The sequence below is a fragment of the Homo sapiens genome, chromosome 12, assembly GCF_000001405.40.
Source record: "Homo sapiens chromosome 12, GRCh38.p14 Primary Assembly".
Taxonomy (NCBI): Eukaryota; Metazoa; Chordata; class Mammalia; order Primates; family Hominidae; genus Homo; species Homo sapiens.
Genome location: NC_000012.12, coordinates 115,305,487 through 115,323,686, shown reverse-complemented (window position 1 = coordinate 115,323,686; position 18,200 = coordinate 115,305,487). Strand labels below are relative to the sequence as shown.

Genomic DNA, 18,200 nt, shown 5'->3' with positions numbered 1-18,200 from the left:
TGGTTGTGATATGATTCATTTCCTCTTGCCTAAGGGGTAGATCTCACTGCTCAGGTATTCATTCACTCACCATCTTCCTTCCTTGCTTTATCCCTTCCTTCCTCCCTTCTTCCTTTCTTCATTCCTTCCTTACCCTTTCCTTCTTTCCCTCCCTTTTTCTTTCTCTATCTTTTCTTTTCTTTCTTCCTTTTCTTTCTTTCTTTCTTTTTCTTCCTTTCTTCATTCCTTCTTTCCTTCCTTCCTTCCCCCCTCCCTCTTTCTTTCTTCTTTTCCTTCCTTCCTTTCTTCTTCATTCCTTTCTTTCTTTCCTCCTTTCTCTTTCTTTCTCTTTCTTTCTTCTTTCTTTTTTCCTTCCTTCCTCCCTCCCTCCCTCCCTACCTACCTCCCCCTCTTTCTTTTCCGTCCTTCCTCCCTCCCTCCGTCCCTCTCTCTTTTTCTTTCTTTCTTTCCTACTTTCTCTTTCTTTCTCCTTCCTTCCTTCTTTCCTTCCTCCATCCCTCCCTTTCTTTCTTTCTTTCCTTCTTCCCTTCTCTTTTTTCTTTTCTTTCTTTCTTCTTTCTTTCTTTCCTTTTCTCTTCCTTCCTTCCTTTCCTTGTTTCCTTCCCTCCCTCCCTCCTCCCTCTCTCCTTTCTTTCTTTCTTTCCTTTTCTCTTCCTTCCTTCCTTTTCTTCTTTCCTTCCTTCCCTCCCTCCCTCCCTCCCTTCTTTCTTTTCTTTTCTTTCTTTCTTTCTTTCTTTCTTTCTTTCTTTCTTTCTTTCTTTCTTTCTTTCTTTCTTTCTTTCTTTCTTTCTTTCTTTTTCTTTCTCTCTCTCTCTTTTCTCTTTCCATTTATCCAGGCAGCAAATATTTGAGTGTCTATTAAAGATAAGGGGGGGGGGGGAAAAACCATAAATGCACTTTCTCAGTGAGTATGGACCTCAGAATCCTTCTCAACACAGCATCTCCACCCCATTTCTTCCTATAGGTGTGCTAGCGGAAAACATAAGAAAGCACATCTTAGGTGGCCAGAGATTCCCACACACCATGTGAAACAGGGCCTTACATGCAGAAAACACTTATGGAATTAATTTAACCTGGTGTTAAATGATCTTTCCTTTCAGGGTAGGAGAGGAGATGAGTCAAAGAGCAAAAATAAAACAGAGAAGAAAAGCACATAATATAATATTGAGTCAAGTATGTGCTTGTTCCTTTTGTTGCCTATCCTGAGGAGGACAGATGCCTGGAAAATTCGAGTTGCTAAGAGCTGGGGATTGTCCCAGATACTATTATGAAGATAAAAGAGGAAGTGGAACTGAGTTCATTAATAGTGACTAAGAAAACCCTTAATGCTTGTTTTAGTTTGTGATTTTAGAGGTCATGCCCGACCAATCGGTTCTGCCCTGAAATAGTTTCCTGTCGGAGTCTTGACACTTGAAGATTTGATCATTATTCAGAGTATTTGTAGAAGTTCTTTTCTGAGTGGAGAAGGGAAGAGGAGTGTAATACAAAAAATCTTGCTTAATTTTTTGGAATAATTTTTTTTACTGGTGACAAGATCTATAATCTTTGAGAGTAGATTTAACTTGGGGAAAGAATAAAATATCACAGAGAAATAATCATTAAAAATAAATAGATGATTTACTTGGTTATACTAATCTAGAGTCCAACAACTAAAATGCAATCATGATATTTTGCCAAAAAAAAAAAATAGATAAATGGGCTGAGCACGGTGGCTCAGGCCTGAAATCCTAGCACTTTGGGAGGCTAGGGCGGGTGGATCGCCTGAGCTTGGGAGTTCAAAACCAGCCAGGGCAACATGGGGAAACCCTGTCTCTACTAAAAATACAAAAAATTAGCCAGGCGTGGTGACACACACCTACAGTCCCAGCTACTCAGGAGGCTCAGGCACAAGAATCACTTGAACCTGGGAGGCAGAGGTTGCAGTGAGTTGAGGTCACGCCACTGCACTCCAGCCTGGGCAACAGAGCGAGACTCTGTCTCCAAAAAAAAAAAAAAAGAAAGAAAAAAAAGAAAAGGAAAAAGCCTCAATGAATAATAATGTTTTTTGTGCCTCAATTGTAAATGCCCATTTAGACATTTCCAAAGGCCATGTTCAAAAAGGAATTCCAAGAACATGTGGTGGGAAGGGAATGGCATCGTATTTGTTCTGAAGGAATACTTGTGAAAAGTGGTCATGTGACAAACTCATTCAGGTAAGGTGACTAAAAACCTACGTTGTCGCTTTATCATTGCCTCCTACTTCTCTTTTGACTGGTGCCTAGAAAAGAGAGATCCAAAAGAGGGAGAGAATAATCCACAATTAAGATAAAGATTATTTTAGGGGAAAGGGAAAGGAAGGAATGAGAGCAAAAAGTGGGCCCTGGGGGTATTTCGAGACTCTGCTTTTGGCCATGCTTTGCTGCCATTTGGCAAGGCGACCCTGGCCTTGTGTGCTTAGAGTCATCTGACCGACGGTGGCCGGAAGCCGACTATGACAGAGACTTGAGATATTGCAGATCGGGTTGAGGAAGGTCAAAATAATTAGTCATTGGAGATGATATGAGGAAAGGAAGGAGGGGGAGGTTGGGGGAGTGGGTGCAACAGAAACAGTTCTAGTGTTGGAGCCGAGGAAGCCAACTCTGAAACATTTGGACCTTTGTTGTCTGACATTGCTTTTGCCACTCCTTCTTCCTTCCTCCCACCTTTGCCTTCCCCACCACCTCCTCCAAACTCCCCTGCCTTCTATCTCTGGCCCCACTGATGACCCCTCCATGTGAGTCGTAGGCTTTTACTACCCATGATTTCTTTTCTCCAAGCAAAAGAGAGAAGAGTTTATTTCATTCTCAGCAGCATCCCTGGCCAGCCTCGTCAAAGGTGAGATGATCCCAGGGTGACCTTCCTTTAGGACTGCCATTGGGAGGGTCGGGGTGGAAGACATTCCAAGAAGCAAGAGGGCACTCTCTGAAAGCGCTTTTATTACCCACGCTGCTCCCCTAGCCCTCCCCCATCATTCAGCCTACTTTGAAATTAATAAATGCACAGCTCAGAGAATGCAGGCTTTATCTAATAAAACCTCTCCCTTACTCTGCCCTCGCTCTGAACCCTTGCCTCAAGCATTTTAGTGAATTTGAGGCTGTTGATGTGGGTGGATTGACAGCCCTTGATTTGGGAGGCCTCCCTCTTTGACTGAAGACAGGTAGAGACAGTGGTGGTAGCAGCACCCAAAACAATCTGGCTGTTTCTCTCTCTCTCTCTCCTGGAAACACCCAGACTTGGGGGCCAGGGCTGAGCTTAGATGCTGCCTTCTCTGGAAAGCCTTTTTAAAGTCATGGACACTTGTGATTCTCAAACTTTGCTGCATGTTAGAATCATCTGGGGGAATTTTAGAAAATCCTGATGTTCAGGTCACATCCCAGAATAACCACGCCAGTTTCTGTCCGTGCGATTCTAACGAGCAGCTACGTTTGAAAACCAATGGCCAAGATCAGTGCTTCTTAAGCTTTAAGTTGCAAATGAACTCTCTGAGTGAAGATGTTGTTAAAACGAAGATTCTGATTCAGTAAGTACGAGGTGAGATCTGATATTCTGCATTTCTTGTTTGCTCCCAGGTGACAATGATACCACTGATACACAGACCACACTTTGAGAAGCAAGGTTCTATAGCAATGGTTCTCAATTCTTATTGCGCATCAGAATCACCCAGAAGGCTTGCTGAAACACACACTCCTGGGCCCCGTCCTTGGAGATTCGGCTTCAGTAGGTCTGGGTGGAGGGCCTGAGAATTTGCATTTCTAATAATTTCCCTGGATGACTGATCCAGGAACCAAAGTTTGAGAACCACTGGCCTAGACTGCTTTGCTCATGCCCCTCCCAGGTCTTCCAGAGTGCCTAAGCTGACTTCGTCGCAGCAGTCTTTTATTCAATCAGCTGGTGTTTACTCGGACACTTCCCATGCTGCAGGGGTTGTACCGGGCACATAGGAGGCAGTGCCTTGTAGCTGTTGTCAGCAAGAACTTTAAATGTGGAAGATGCGTTGTAAATTCCAGCCTAAGCTTTTTAGCTTCCTAACTAGGACAGATTGTTTTATCTATACAATCTGTCATAGAAGCTATTATATGTTGGAAACTCTGGAAGATCTATAATTACCCTTAACACTCAGCTCTACTTTGTAAGTTACATTTATTTATTCTTAGTTTCTAAATAGGATTACCATGGCCAGTGCCTTTCTAACAATTTTAGAGTCATTTTATTTGTGAGATTAATGATTTGAAACTTCGATTTTGTCAGAGATCTCTAGACTGACCTCTAGAGATAGGCGTGTTAAGAATTAACAGCCTTTAAATTCTGGGATACATGTGCAGAATATGCAGGTTTGTTACATAGGTATACATGTGCCATGTTGGTGTGCTGCACCTATCAACCCATCATCTACATTAGGTATTTCTCCTAATGCTATCCCTCCCCTAGCCCCCCACCCCCCAACAGGCCCCAATGTGTGATGTTCCCCTGCCTGTGTCCATGCGTTCTCATTGTTCAACTCCCACTTATGAGTGAGAACATGCAGTGTTTGGTTTTCTGCTCCTGTGTTAGTTTGCTGAGAATGATGGTTTCAGGCTTCATCCATGACCCTGCAAAGGTCATGAACTCATCCTTCTTTATGGCTGCATAGGATTCCATGGTGTATATGTGCCACATTTTCTTTATCCAGTCTATCATTGATGGGCATTTGGGTTGGTTCCAAGTCTTTGCTATTGTGAACAGTGCTGTAATAAACATTCATGTGCATGCGTCTTTATAGTAGAATGATTTATAATCCTTTGGGTATACCCAGTAATGGGATTGCTGTGTCAAATTGTATTTCTGGTTCTAGATCCTTGAGGAATTGCCACACTGTCTTCCACAATGGTTGAACTAATTTACACTCCCACTAACAGTGTAAAAGCGTTCAGTGTTTCTTTAACAGTAAAGACATTTTCATTATCAAATAATGATGTTCATGTTTTTCTAGAAAAACTATCATTACTCCATTTGTTTAAACTTTGATCTTGAATAAAAATAAAACAAGCAAAAAAAATTAACATTCTTCAGCTGGGCGCAGTGGCTCATGCCTGTAATCCCAGCACTTTGGGAAGCTGAGGCAGGTGAATCGCTTGAGGTCAGGAGTTCAAGACGAGCCTAGTCAACATGGTGAAATCTGTCTCTACAGAAAATACAAAAATTAGGTGGGTGTGGTGGCACGCACCTGTAGTCCCAGCTATTCAGAGGCTGAGCTAGGAGAATCGCTTGAACCCATGAGGCAGAGGTTACAGTGAGCCGAGATCACACCACTGCACTCCAGCCTGGGTGACAGAGCAAGCCTCTGTTTCAAAAAAAAAGAAAGAAAGAAAGAAAGAATTAACAGCCTTCTTTCTAGAAGCAGGGATCTGCCCAGTTAGCAAGGAGATTGGGTGGACCAATGCTGGGAATAGAATCCTGAGATTAAAGATATTGTTATTAAAAATATCTCTAATGTCCTTTGAAGTGAGGAGGCTCATTGCCTTTTCCCATTTCAAGAACCTCAGCAATTTTGAGGCACCAGAATTTTCCCTTTAAATCTAACTTCTGTCTTTCTTACTTTATTGTCAGTCCATTTTTAAGCCAAATCACTGAGTTATGACTCACATTGAAACGCTGTGCATCTTTAATGCACACAACTTGATGAGTTTGGAGATAAGTGTACACCTGTGAAGCTATCACCACAATCAACACCATAATCATTTCAATCACCTCCAAAAGTTTCCTTCTGCCCTCTTTGTTTGATATGGTTATTATTACTGTGATAAGAAGACAATGTAAGATCTATCCTTCTAGCATATTTTTAGTATACAATAGAATATTCTTAACTATAGCTACTATGTTGTCCTCTGGATATCTAGGACTTATTTATCTGGCATAATCAAAACTTTGTATCATTTGACCAACATCTCTCCGTTTCACCCTCCCTGTAGGCTTGGCAATCACCACTCTGCTCTCTGCTTCTGTGAGTTTGACTATTTTAGATTCTTCATAGAAGTGGGTTCATGTAGTACTTGTCCTTCTGTGCCTGGCTTATTTCACTTACCATAATATCCTCCAAGTTCATCCACATTGTTTCAAATGGCAGGATTTTCTTGCTTTTTAAGGCTGAATAACAATTCATTATATGTATATACCAATTTTCTTTATCTGTTTATCTGTCAGTGGACATTTAGATTGCTCTCATGTCTTAGCTATTGTGAATAATGCAATTCCGATTTCAATTCCTTTGGATATACACCCAGAAGTGGGATTTCTGGATTATATAATGATCTATTTTTATTTATTTATTTATTTATTTATTTATTTATTTTGAGACAGTCTCGCTCTGTCACCCAGGCTGGAGTGCAGTGGCACCATCCCAGCTCACTGTAACCTCTACCTCCTGGATTCAAGTGATTCTCCTGCCTCAGCCTCCCAAATAGCTGGGATTACAGGCATGTGTCACCACACCCAGCTAATTTTTTAATTTTTATTAGAGACAGAGTCTCATCATGTTGCCTGGGCTGGACTCAAACTCCTGGCCTCAAGAGATCCACCTGTCTTGACCTCCCAAACTGCTGGAATTACAGGTGTGAGCCACTATGCCCAGCCATGATGACCTATTTTTAACTTTTTGAGCAACCTCTGTACTGTTTTGCATAGTGGTTGCACCAATTTACATTCTGACCAAAATTATACAAGAGTTCTCTTTCTTCCACATCCCCACCAAAACTTGTTATCTTTTTAAGACAATAGCCATCCTGACAGGTGTGAGGTGAGATCTCATTGTGGTTTTGATGTGCATTTCTCTGATGATGTTGAGCATCTTTTCATAGCTATTGGTCATTGGTTTGTTTTCTTTGGGAAAATGTCTATTCAAGTCTTTTACTCCTTGAAAAATCTGGTTCTTCTTCACTTCCTTCCTTCCTTTCTTCTTTTCTTCCTCCCTTCTTCCCTTCTTTTCTTCTTTATTTCTTTGCTTCCTCTCTTCTTTTCTTTTCCTTTTCTTTTCTTTCCTTCCTTCCTTTCTTTCTTTCTGTCTCTCTTTCTTTCTTTCTCTCTCTCTTTCTCTTTCTTTTTTCTCTCTCTCTTCCTTCCTTCCTTTCTTTCTTTCTTTCTTTCTTTCTTTCTTTCTTTCTTTCTTTCTTTCTTTCTTTCTTTCATTCTTTCCCTCCCTCCCTCCCTCCCTCCCTCCCTCCCTTCCTTCCTCTCCTCTCCTTTCTCCCTTTCTCTCCCTCTCTCCTAGTAAATTGTAGGAGTTTCTTATATCGTTTGGATATCAACCCTTAATGATATATACAGCTATGGTTTGCAAACATTTTCTCCCGTTCTGTTAGTTGTATTATCATTTTGAAGTTTTTTTGTTCTGTGAAGAAGGTTTTTAGTTAGATATAGTCCAATTTGTCTGTTTTTGCTTTTGTTGCTTGTGCTTTTGGTGCCATATCCAAGGAATCATTGCCAATGTCAATATCAAGGACACTTTTTCCCATTTTTTCCTAGGAGCTTTATAGCCTCAGATCTTAATTTAAATATTTAATTCATTTTAAGTTTGTTTTTGTGTATGGTGTAAGATAAGGGTCCACTTTCATTCTTTTGCACATGGATATCCAGTTTTACCAACACCATTTATTGGACAGAATACTCTTTCTCTAAGTGTGTTCTTGGGACCCTTGTCAAATATCAATTGACTATATAATCACAAGTTTATTCCTGGGCTTTCTGTTTGTTCCATTGGTCTACATGTCTGTCTTTATGCCAGTACTGTATTGTTTTAATGCCTGTAGCTTTGAAACATATTTTCAAATTAGGAAGGGGTGATGCTTCCAGCTTTGTTCTTCTTGTTCAATAGTGCTTTGGTTTCTGGGTAACTTGTGGTTCCATAAGAATTTTAGAATTTGTTTTCTATTTCTGCAAAAAAAAAATGCCATTGGGATTTTGATAGGATGGTATTGAAACTATAGATAGCTTTGGGTAGTATAGACATTTTAAAAATATTAATATTAATTGTATCAGTCCATTTCATTTAGTTGTTATCCAATAATCTGAAGACTTACTGAGGATAAGAATTGTGTCAGAGTATTTCCCTTTTATCTTTCTTGATTAATGGGCTGGTGCATAGTAAATATTAACCAAATGAATGAATGCAGAGATGAAGATTAAGGGCCTTGAGGAGGGTGGTGGAGCTGGAATTTGGACCCAGCTCTATGTAAGTTTAGAATCTCTGCCCTCCCTAAGAATTAATTTTTGCAGGCACCTGAATTCACTCATATGTCATTGAGAAGAGGCTATGGACTCAAAAGACTGGAGTCCTTTTCTAACAGCTTTGAAATCATAAAATGAAAAGAATGAAGATTTCTTTTAATATATTGACAAATTTTGGCACACCATAGAAGGGGTTTTCCTATGTTATTGGAGATACTTCTAGGTCATGCATTGTCATAGCAGAACTACAAATACTTAATTATTTTTCTACCTTACCTAAAATGTGTTTACCACTCTAGCAGGTTGCTCTCCTAATGACTGCTATGAAACAGAGCCATGGGTTCTTTGTACGTCCCAGCCTACTAGAGTCAGGTGGAGCCATGTGTCCAATTCTGTCTATTGGGCTGAGAGAAGAGGGAATACATGTCATTCCCATGCCAAAGCACACAAATCAGATGTGGGTTCTCCATGAGCTCTCTTCCCCTTCTGTGGTGACCATGGCGGACTAATATTGCAGATGATGCAGCTAAGACTAAGTAGTCAACGGATCCTGCCATCATCCTGGATCCTTGAATGGCTATGTGGAGCAGAGCCCCCTTACATTACCTGCTGGGCATACAACATGAATAAGAAATCAACCTTTATGATATTGAATCACTAAAATTCCAGGGAAATTGTCTGCAAAATAGTCTAGGCTCTTTTGAATAATTTAACTCCCAACAGAACAAGCCAAGTTTGTTCTCTCATGGGGATCTTTGTTAAAATTGATGGTCTTTCTGAATTATTTTCTTTTTCTAGCAATTCAAATTGTACCCAGCTCCCACCACCCATTTAACCTGTGACACCGTCATTGGCAGCCATAGTCAACAATGATTTCTTCCTGTAGTTCATTCATTTCACAAATATTTCTTGAGTATTTATTATGTGCCAAGTAGATTAAATAAAAATTAATGAGCCTAAGTACTAAGGTAGAGAAAGTACATGTTTCCTGGCCTTAATACCTCTCTAGGACCTTTTTAGTCTCCGATTACCTTATTTTTTCACAATGTGTTTATATGATCTTCTGCTCTAGTTTTATGAGTGTTTGGCTGGCCAGGGAGGATCCTGATGTTCTTAAATAACCTTTCTTTTATGCCCTTTTCTTCTCTCTTTTCTCTTCTCTGTGAATTTTTGCTGCCTTAGGCTGTCAAATAAACACATTGCTAGGAGGATCACCTCAACCTGTAGGAACTTCCTTCCTGCCAAGAAGCTGGTTCATTCATCACCAAGCATCATCATCATGGAATGTAAGTGCACGCTTTGCTCTGGGCTCTCACTCCCACTGGGACTTTGACCTGGACTCAGTCAGCTGCTTGATTTTCAGAAAGGAGGCTGACCCTGTGGGGTAGACAAAAGCTTGTTTTGATAGTCATCACCACGTGGAAGCTGTGTGTATGTGCCAATTTACACAGCATCAAGGTTTTAGGTTTGCTACATGGAGTTTGGCTCCATCAGGTAAAGCACTGCAGGTTTAGGGAAGCTTAGTTTTTCCTGGCTTTGATGCTCTCCTCTAGACGGAAGGGACTTGTAACAGCTGAGTTGAGAGGTAACCCGTGATACCCGGCGCCCAGATTGGGGAAATGCCCTGCTTAATGTAGCACAGTGAGTGGGGATGGGAGCTGGAACTAGAAGCCAGGACTCATGGGTCCTAATGCAATGTGCATCCTTTCATATCATACTCTCTGGCTACACTTTTCAGGACAAATATTATAATTATTTCAGCCTCCCTTATGAGGCAAAATTATCTAAATAAAAATAATAACTAATAACAATAATTTCTACCATATAGTTAACACTCAGTCTATACCAGGCTTGAACAGGGTAGACCATATACTAAGAGGGTAGTAGGCCCTCAACAGGTAATAATTGGATGGGTGAATGAAAGACAGCATAGCAAAGTGCTTAAGAGGAGGGGTGGGGTTCAAATCCTGGCTCATACAGTTACAAGCTGCAAGACTTTAGCAAGTGAACACAACCTCTCTCTGCCTCATTTTCTGCAATGTTCACATTGGCATAATAATATTGATAACCATTGAAAGGATTGAATGAGGTGGTGCAAGCAAACACTTACTGGCATGCAGTGGGTGCTTGATAACGGGAAACCAATTACTACCCTTATCATCATCATCGTCATCGTCATCATCTTCACTCTTGCTTAGAGGGAGGAACAGAGAAGGTTAAAGTTAGAGGCAGGAAGCCTACTTAAGATGCTATTGTAATTATCCACTCAGTATCTCCCATTACTGAGCCCTTTCCACCTGCCAGACACCGTGCTAAGTGCTTGATGTGCAATATCCCTGGTAACATCATTCTGAGTTTTATGTGTACATTAGACAAAACAAACAGCAAGCAGGATTCAAAATATTTGTCCCCACTCCATAAACAAACCTGCCTGTGTCATCACCATGAGCCTCGTCTCAACATCCTAACTTTGTAAGGCATTTTCCAAAATCAGAGAAGACTCTGCACAATAGAAATTTGGATGCTGGGCCACTGAGAGTTTCACAACTTGTGTCCCCAAAGTATAGTGCCAGCCACCATTCTTCTATGGGGATTCTAGTTTCATGAACTTTATCACAGGGGTTGCTGGAGAAAAAGTCATAGATGTGATAGATGCCTTGAAGCCAGAAACAGCTGTGCCCAGTAGCATCAAACATGAATAGGACTCTGAGTCAGTCTCATATTCTTTTCTCATAGGGACCAGAGTTTCTCTTTCACCAAAGAAAAATGCTTAGGGAAGGAAGCGTTACCCTGCCATATGTCAGCCTTGACAGATAAGCCAGTGCTACAATGGATTTACCAATCCCATGACATTGTATAAAAACTTTCTCAGACCTAGCCACAATTTTGGTATTCTTTCTGAGGACTTTGGAGAGGCAGACCGATCCTTTCATTGGTCATCTGAAAAAAAAAAAAAAAAAAAAAAAAAAAAGAGTCACTACCAAGTCGGTGGGGCTGAGCTGGGGTCTGTGGAGAAATTTCATGTATAAGTTTGGTAAAGCTTCCAGGTCTTCTGGATCCAAGGCAGATCTTGACAATTCAGAACAGTCCTGTGAATTGCTCTGAGGCCATCTCCATGTAGTTCTCCCATGCAATTAGTTACATCTCCTCCTGAAGCTTTCATGGGATGAGCAATTTGATGAATAAAAACAAACAAACAAACAAAAACTTGAGACTTGAGTGCAAAGTATTATTTGGAAATCTTACCTCCTAATGAACTTATTTCAAAGGCAGCTTACCGAGTTTGGTTGAAGGTATGAAGGTAAGAAGTACCTCTACAAATTTATGTAGGGTGGAGGTGGCATGTCCGATTGCCCACATGACACAGTGCTTGTGCAATGCAAAGAACGTTCAAGAATCATCTGCTGTAGGAATGACAGAGAAGCTTCTTCTCAAAGTCTATCTTTTATCAGTGGGTAGTGGCTCCCTGAAACTCTCAGCTGAGATAAATCCTGAGACCTCATCTGGGTTCAACAGGAAAAATAAATAAAATGAGTGACTAGTGATGTCTGTTGTGGATGCGACAATAGAGAGTTATGACCTGTGAGCCAAATATATACTCTCCTACCTACTGTCCAATTTTCTCATTTTCTAGATGGGCAATCTGAGTTTCACGTAAAAGTTACTTGCCCGAAGTTACATAATGTACTACAAGTTAACTCCACATTAAGTTAACACCAATGCGTCTTTTCTACCACATTATAAAATTTAGCTCCAATCACCCATGAGAGGAAAGCAGGCTGATTAAAGAAAAAAATTGTGTATGGCCTCACAATATAAGTTTAGTTTGCTGGTTTCCACCAACATCTGACATATTGGTGACTTATGCATTGTGGTTTATTTTAAAGCTGCCCCCATTTTTTTTTCTTTGCAAAGAACCTGAATTATTTTAACGGGCCACTTTGTGCCAGTCATTTACAAGCCATGGGAACTTCTTGAATTTACACAGTCAGATTAAAGTTATTGTGAAACAGGGTGATGCAGCTTTCACAGGGGATATCCAAGCGACAGGGGTTGTTGACTTGTTATTTGTTGAGTGATGGGCCCTAAACTTCCCCCAGTGATATGTTACACCACCCTGATCCTTTTTCTCCCATTTCCATGGTGTCCTCTTCCAGACTGGCTGGCGCAGCTGAAAAATAAACACTGGGTGTCCCCCGCATATGGTGTGAGGAGTGGGAAGAGAGGAATCATATTTATTTTAGATGCACCCTGGAGATCTTGACACTAATGCATTTCTATCTCTCCTCTCAATTCCATGAGTGGACGCTTAATATGATCTCTGGCTATTGCAAGGGAGGAGGCCAGTGTGACAGCAAATCTGGGATCCAACCCAGACAAACAGTGGGAAAGCAAATATCCTGACAGACCAGTATGGAAAATTCTCCTTTCTTTAGAAGACAGATCTGTCCCCCTTATTTAATCCCCGGCACAGCTGCTCTACTCAGGGCATAGAGACATCAAATGAAAATGGATTCTGATTTGGGAATCATAGGGGCAAATCTAATTTCAGATTATTCCTTTTTCCACAGTCTCACCCTGCTGGAGGTTCGAGCCAAGACATAGAAAGAGGACATTACCTGGGGCAGGAATCAATTGCCTATCACTGGGGATGCCTGCAGATCATTGTCCAGAGTGGCTGCTGTTCACTGAGTGTTTCCTCTGTGCCGGGCACCTTGCACACCTTATTTTCAGTCTCCGCAGCTGCCTTGTTGAGGTTGGCTCTCTATGCTTCTGTTTCACAGTTGGGGAAACTGAGGTTCAGAGATGTGAATGAATTTTCTCAAAGTAACGTTAAGTATTGGTAAGATTTCATTTATCCATTCACTATTAAATATTATTAAGTAATTACAGTGCTTTAAGAACTCCATGTAAATGGTGGATTTGAGGCAAAACTTAGAAGCTGAATTACATAAGGAGTTAACATTGCAAAAAGCTTAGAAATTTATGTTCCAGGTGGAGCGAACAGAGGTTGTGTCTTTTCGGTTACAAGTAATAAAATCCAGAGGCTATCTCAAGGGAAAAATAAAGCACTAGATGGTCTACCAAAGATAGAGGGGCAGGTGGATTTTGGGAAGGGGCAAGAATGAACAGCTAGAAAAATGTGGCTTACGTTTACTGTCTTATCTGCCCCTTAGCTTCATAGCTTTCTTTTTCTCATGTGTAGAGTGATCAAAGATGACCACCACCAAACTTTCATATTAAAGATTAAAACACAAAAATAGGCCAGACACAGTGGCTCATGCCTGTAATCCCAGCATCTTGAGAGGGTGAGGCAGAAGGATCGCTTGAGCCCAGGAGTTTAGGTTCAGCCTGGGCAACATAGCAAGATCCTGTCACTATAAATAGTAACAAGATTAGGTGGACATTATGGTTCATACCTGTGGTCCCAGCTCTTCAGGGGGCTGAGGCAGGAAGATCCCTTGAGCTCAGAAGTTTGAGGCTGCTATGAGCTATGATTACGTCGCTGCACTCCAGCTTGTGTGACAGAGCAAGACCCTGTCTCAAAAAAAAAAAAAAAAAAGACATCTAAATAGATAAATAGAGCAACTCTCCCTCTCAGAATCCTGGGCACAAAATTTCTATTGGCTTAGCTTCTGTCAAGTGTTTAATCCTAGTCACATATCAGAGGCTGCAGGTGGATGGGGTCATATGATATAATACGGCCTCGTGGGGATTGATCACTGTGGGTGAAGAACTCAGTTAAGGTGGCATTAGAAGGTGGACAGATAGCTTGAAAGATGCTGCCTCACCCAGTTACAGAGCTAAAAACCAGACCTAAGTGTGTGTAAGTCAAAACACTACAGTTGACAACCAACTTCATATCTTCTATCATTTCAGAGTAGCACGACACTGGTCAAGAAAGGCCCACATGTTGGTAATTTGTGCCTCCCATATGGTCAATGCTACATTGCGAGGAAGCATGCTGAGCATGACAGTATGCTCTACACCTGTGTGGCTACCATGTTTTGGTTGCCTCCATATAATGGAGTGGTTAAGAGTCCGGGTTCTGGGGCTGAAACACTGGAATTTGAGCCCCAGCTCTGCCAGTGTGTGCCCTTGAGAAAGCTAACTGCCCTCATTACATGTGTTGGTCTTCTCATCCATAACAGGCAGATAATATTAGTTTCTAGCTCAAGGGGTTATTGCCAAGATCAAATGAATGAGTACAGATTAACTTATTGAACAACAGCCAATAAAGGCAAGTTATTTTGAGATACTCAGACTGGACACCATGGGAAACAATGATGAAAGACTCTCCCACAGAAAGACATGGTGTGGTAAGGCAGGGGTTGCAATATTCCGGAAGCTCAGTCACCATAATGAAATAATAGGTCCAGGCATGATGGACACAGTTCCTTTGGAGTCATGTTCCAATTACCACATGGAACCATGGTCCCAGATGCTGACCAAATCTGCTGGCCCAGCTTGGCTTCATTAGTCCCCAGAGATCACCCAGACAGATCAAAGAAAACCCATCCTCAACCAGCCAGAGATTGCTCAAAAAACCAATGACTGTCCCACCAGGGACTGGAATTCCAACTTGCTGGCTAGGTCTGGAGAAGGAGGTGGAGGTGGAACTGCATCCTTTTTTCCAGTATGGACTGAGAGCCAACCATGTGCCAAGGCTGGGAGGAGGTACCGAGGTTGCAGAAAGAAAGGCCCAGTCACGGAATTCAGAGAACTCAGAGTTCAGTGGGGAAGACATGGGCATCCACAATGATATGGGACAATTCATGTTTTTCATTGTTCTGGTAAGAATTTAGTGGGATTATAAAAATAACAATAAAAACAAGAACAATAAAGTGAGATTAAACGAAATGCAAAAATAAAATATGTAATTTCATGAAGAAGTTAAAACAAGGGAAAAATGAGAGAAGAGGGGATAAAATGTAGCTGGAGTTAAATTAGTGGCTGAAGTCAAGAGACTGGCTTTGGAGCCTGTGTTCTGCCTCTTCTGAGAGAGCACAGTGAGCTTGAGAAAGATAGTCTACCTTCAGCATCTCTGCTTCCTCTTCTGTAATGTGGGGATAACAAAAATCACATGTGGATTTTGTGATGAATGAATGACAGCAGCTCTACATAGCGCATTACACAATGTAGGGCCTATTAGAGGTGGGGATGAGGTTTCAATTATGGGCTAATGGTGCAAAGCTTGAGATCACAGTGCTTTGCCATTCACCTCTTCTCCCTAAAAGGGTCCTAACAGAGGGAGATTTTCACATAAGGAATACCCGCCAAGCAGGAAGCAGGCCACTGCTTTATTAATAACGGATATGAATGAATAACCTAGCCAACATTCAATGGCACCAAATGCTGAGCTTTCTAGCAGGGCTAGGTTTGGGATATAAATGAGGGCTTGGTTTGGGATATAAATGAGGGTTCCTGCTGCTATACCCTCATGGCAAGTTCCTAGCCAGACTAGCTTCCTCATTTCGGAGAAGGAAGAATTAGAATAGCAACCAAAAAAAGCACATATACATCATTTGAGTTGGACATACAGTCCCTGAGAATAAAGACTACAGCCTCCCTTGTCACTAGATTTGGCCATATATCTAAGCTTTGGCCAGTACATTATAATATCTTTCCTAAAAAGACAGCTAGCTCAGACCCTTGTTTATTTATTTGTTTGTTTTCATTTGTTGTTCCTTTCTCCTTCCTGCTGGTTGGAAGGTGAATAGCATGATGACAGTCCTGGCAGTCGACTTGGATTACATGAACCTGGGCCACATCCTAAGGAAGGCAGGGCCAAAATCTGGAAGGAGCCTTGGCCTCTGGGGACTTGACCTGCAAAAGCCTCCCATTAGCTCTAGACTTCTTCCCTTCAGATTTATATATGAGAGAGCAGGACACTTCTACTGGGGGTATGCTGCTGTTAGTTTGAGACTCTGTTACAACTAAACTTTGTTCTAATGATACAAAAAACTTGGGGCTTAAAAAATATAAATATCAGTATCTAGAATCATAATTCAAAGTCATGGGTTTTAAAAAAAAATACATAATTGAATAAGACATGCTCCAAAAAAGTTCTCTGCTTGTTATTCTTTCAAACTAAAAAGAGTCGTTGAGCCTCCACTGGGTGTCAGGTGCCAGCAGCGGATGTTACAAAAATCCAAGGATGAGTGACATTCACAAGGCTTTGTTTTGTGCATCATTGGGGCTTTTGTTTCATGTTGGAAACAGCATATGAGGTAGGTTTGAGTATGGGGAGAATTTGAGAGAGAGAGAGAGGAGGGAAGGAGAAAGCGAGAGGAGTTAGGGTGGAAACTAGTGTTTCTAGGAGAGTTAATAGTAGGACTAAGACAGGCATAGTGGCACACACCTGTAGTCCCACCTACTCTGGAGGCTCAGGTGGGAGGAAGGCTTGAGGCCAGGAGTTTGAGTCCAGCCTGGTTAACATAATGAGACCCCATCTCTCTAAAAAAAAAAAAATCGTAGAACCAAAGGCCGTGAGAAGAAAAGCCCTTTTCCCAATTTCAATATTTAGCCATGGTCTTTGTTTAATAAGAGAGTCTCTTTAATTGCTTAATCATGATGACTTGATTCCCAATTCCTGTTATCTGTGTGACCTGACACAGGCTCTGATACACTGTCGCTTCCCGGTAGATGATGGATGCTGCAGTTGTTGTTAGATATTCAGACGAATGCAAGCAGAAGAGCAGGGCCCACCGGTAGCACCTTTTGTTCTATGTATGTTTTCGTTTCTCATTTGAGGCATTGGGTATTCATCTCAATGTAACCCAACACTAGCTCCTGCCCTGTATCTTCAGGACTGCAGCTTATGGTCAAACAGGTTAGGTGATGGATGACTCTAGGGAGGGCCACTGACATCGTCCACAGTGTGATTTGCACTGGGATTGTGCAAGAGGCTCAGTTTACACAATCATCAGCAGAACTTCGCCTAGGGCCTCTTATTAGAGAAAAACATGGAGAGGACAAATGCCCTTTCATCTTCTGTCATTCTTTGGCCCAAACCCTCCACCCCACTGGAATGCCAGCTTCAAGAGGGCAGGGATGTTTTGTCTGTTCTGTTCACTGCCATCTTCCCAGTGATCAATAGTAAAATGAATTATATTTGCAGTGTTACTTATGGAAACACCTTTATTCCACCCTGTAATCTACTGGAAGCTTCCATGTCTCAACCACGTGCCAGAAGGTCATAAAGAAAAGAAAATGGAAACTTGAAAATGGGCAGAACAAATGCTCCTGTTCCCTAAATATATTGCTGGTATCTAGCGCTGTGTCTGATTTCCCCACCATTTTATTTTTGGCCCTGATCTCAGAGGCTTAAAGCATTAAATCATCACTAGACAAGGGTGAGCACAGGCTGTTAGAACAGAACAAGTTCATGGTGCTAACAGACCCTCCCAGCAAAGATTGTGATCTGGCACTGTGAGAACAGCATCTTATTGTGTGTCTGCAGCCTGAGAAGACAGCACCCTGGCATGGAAAAGTGTGGCCTGAGGCTCTGGGTTGTTGGGTTCGCTGTAGAGTTTATTCTCTCATGTAGTCCCCCAATCATCACACCCATGCCGTACCCTGACTCATTGGTTATTGGGTGTAATGTCTCTCTATTCAGTAATGGGGATTCTTTTCTCTTTAAGTCATTAGCAACTCAGTGATAACTGCTACTTCTTGCAAAAAAGCGTTTGCAAGCTCCACTTCTGCCCATTCATGGGAAAACACACACCCGACTTCGGTTCAGTACCTAAGTGTTCCAGGCTCTACGCTACACACAGAAGAGGTGCTGTCTCATCAGTACCGTACCACACTCCTCTGAGTCAGGAAGAATTAGCCGCATGTCTAGCCTTCCTAGAGAAATTAGGAAAACTTCCCAAGATAGTGCTACTAGCTCATATCTGTAGAACTTATTGCATGCTCAACTAGCCCTTTTCAACTCCCACAGCCACCCTAAGTGAGAGGTAAGGGTAGGTGTGCCCATT

At 41.7% G+C, this 18,200-nt stretch overlaps 1 long non-coding RNA gene across 12 annotated transcripts in view, besides 1 other annotated feature; it reads left to right on the top strand.

Moving 5' to 3' along the window:
* LOC124903082 (uncharacterized) overlaps nucleotides 1–18,200 on the top strand; it is an 85,010-nt gene that overhangs the window by 31,352 nt on the left and 35,458 nt on the right. For 4 of the 12 annotated variants that reach the window (XR_007063597.1, XR_007063595.1, XR_007063596.1 and 1 more), the window contains exons 4-5: nucleotides 9,400–9,503; nucleotides 12,789–12,973. This is a non-coding gene — a long non-coding RNA (uncharacterized LOC124903082). The other 8 variants (XR_007063601.1, XR_007063591.1, XR_007063592.1 and 5 more) reach the window with 7 other exon arrangements.
* Nucleotides 1,166–1,245: an enhancer, noted in NCBI's record as "active region_7078". NCBI's record gives its function as "activates an Ori minimal core promoter by ATAC-STARR-seq in GM12878 lymphoblastoid cells {active_cell/tissue: GM12878}" and the evidence as "EXISTENCE:reporter gene assay evidence [ECO:0000049][PMID:35858748]".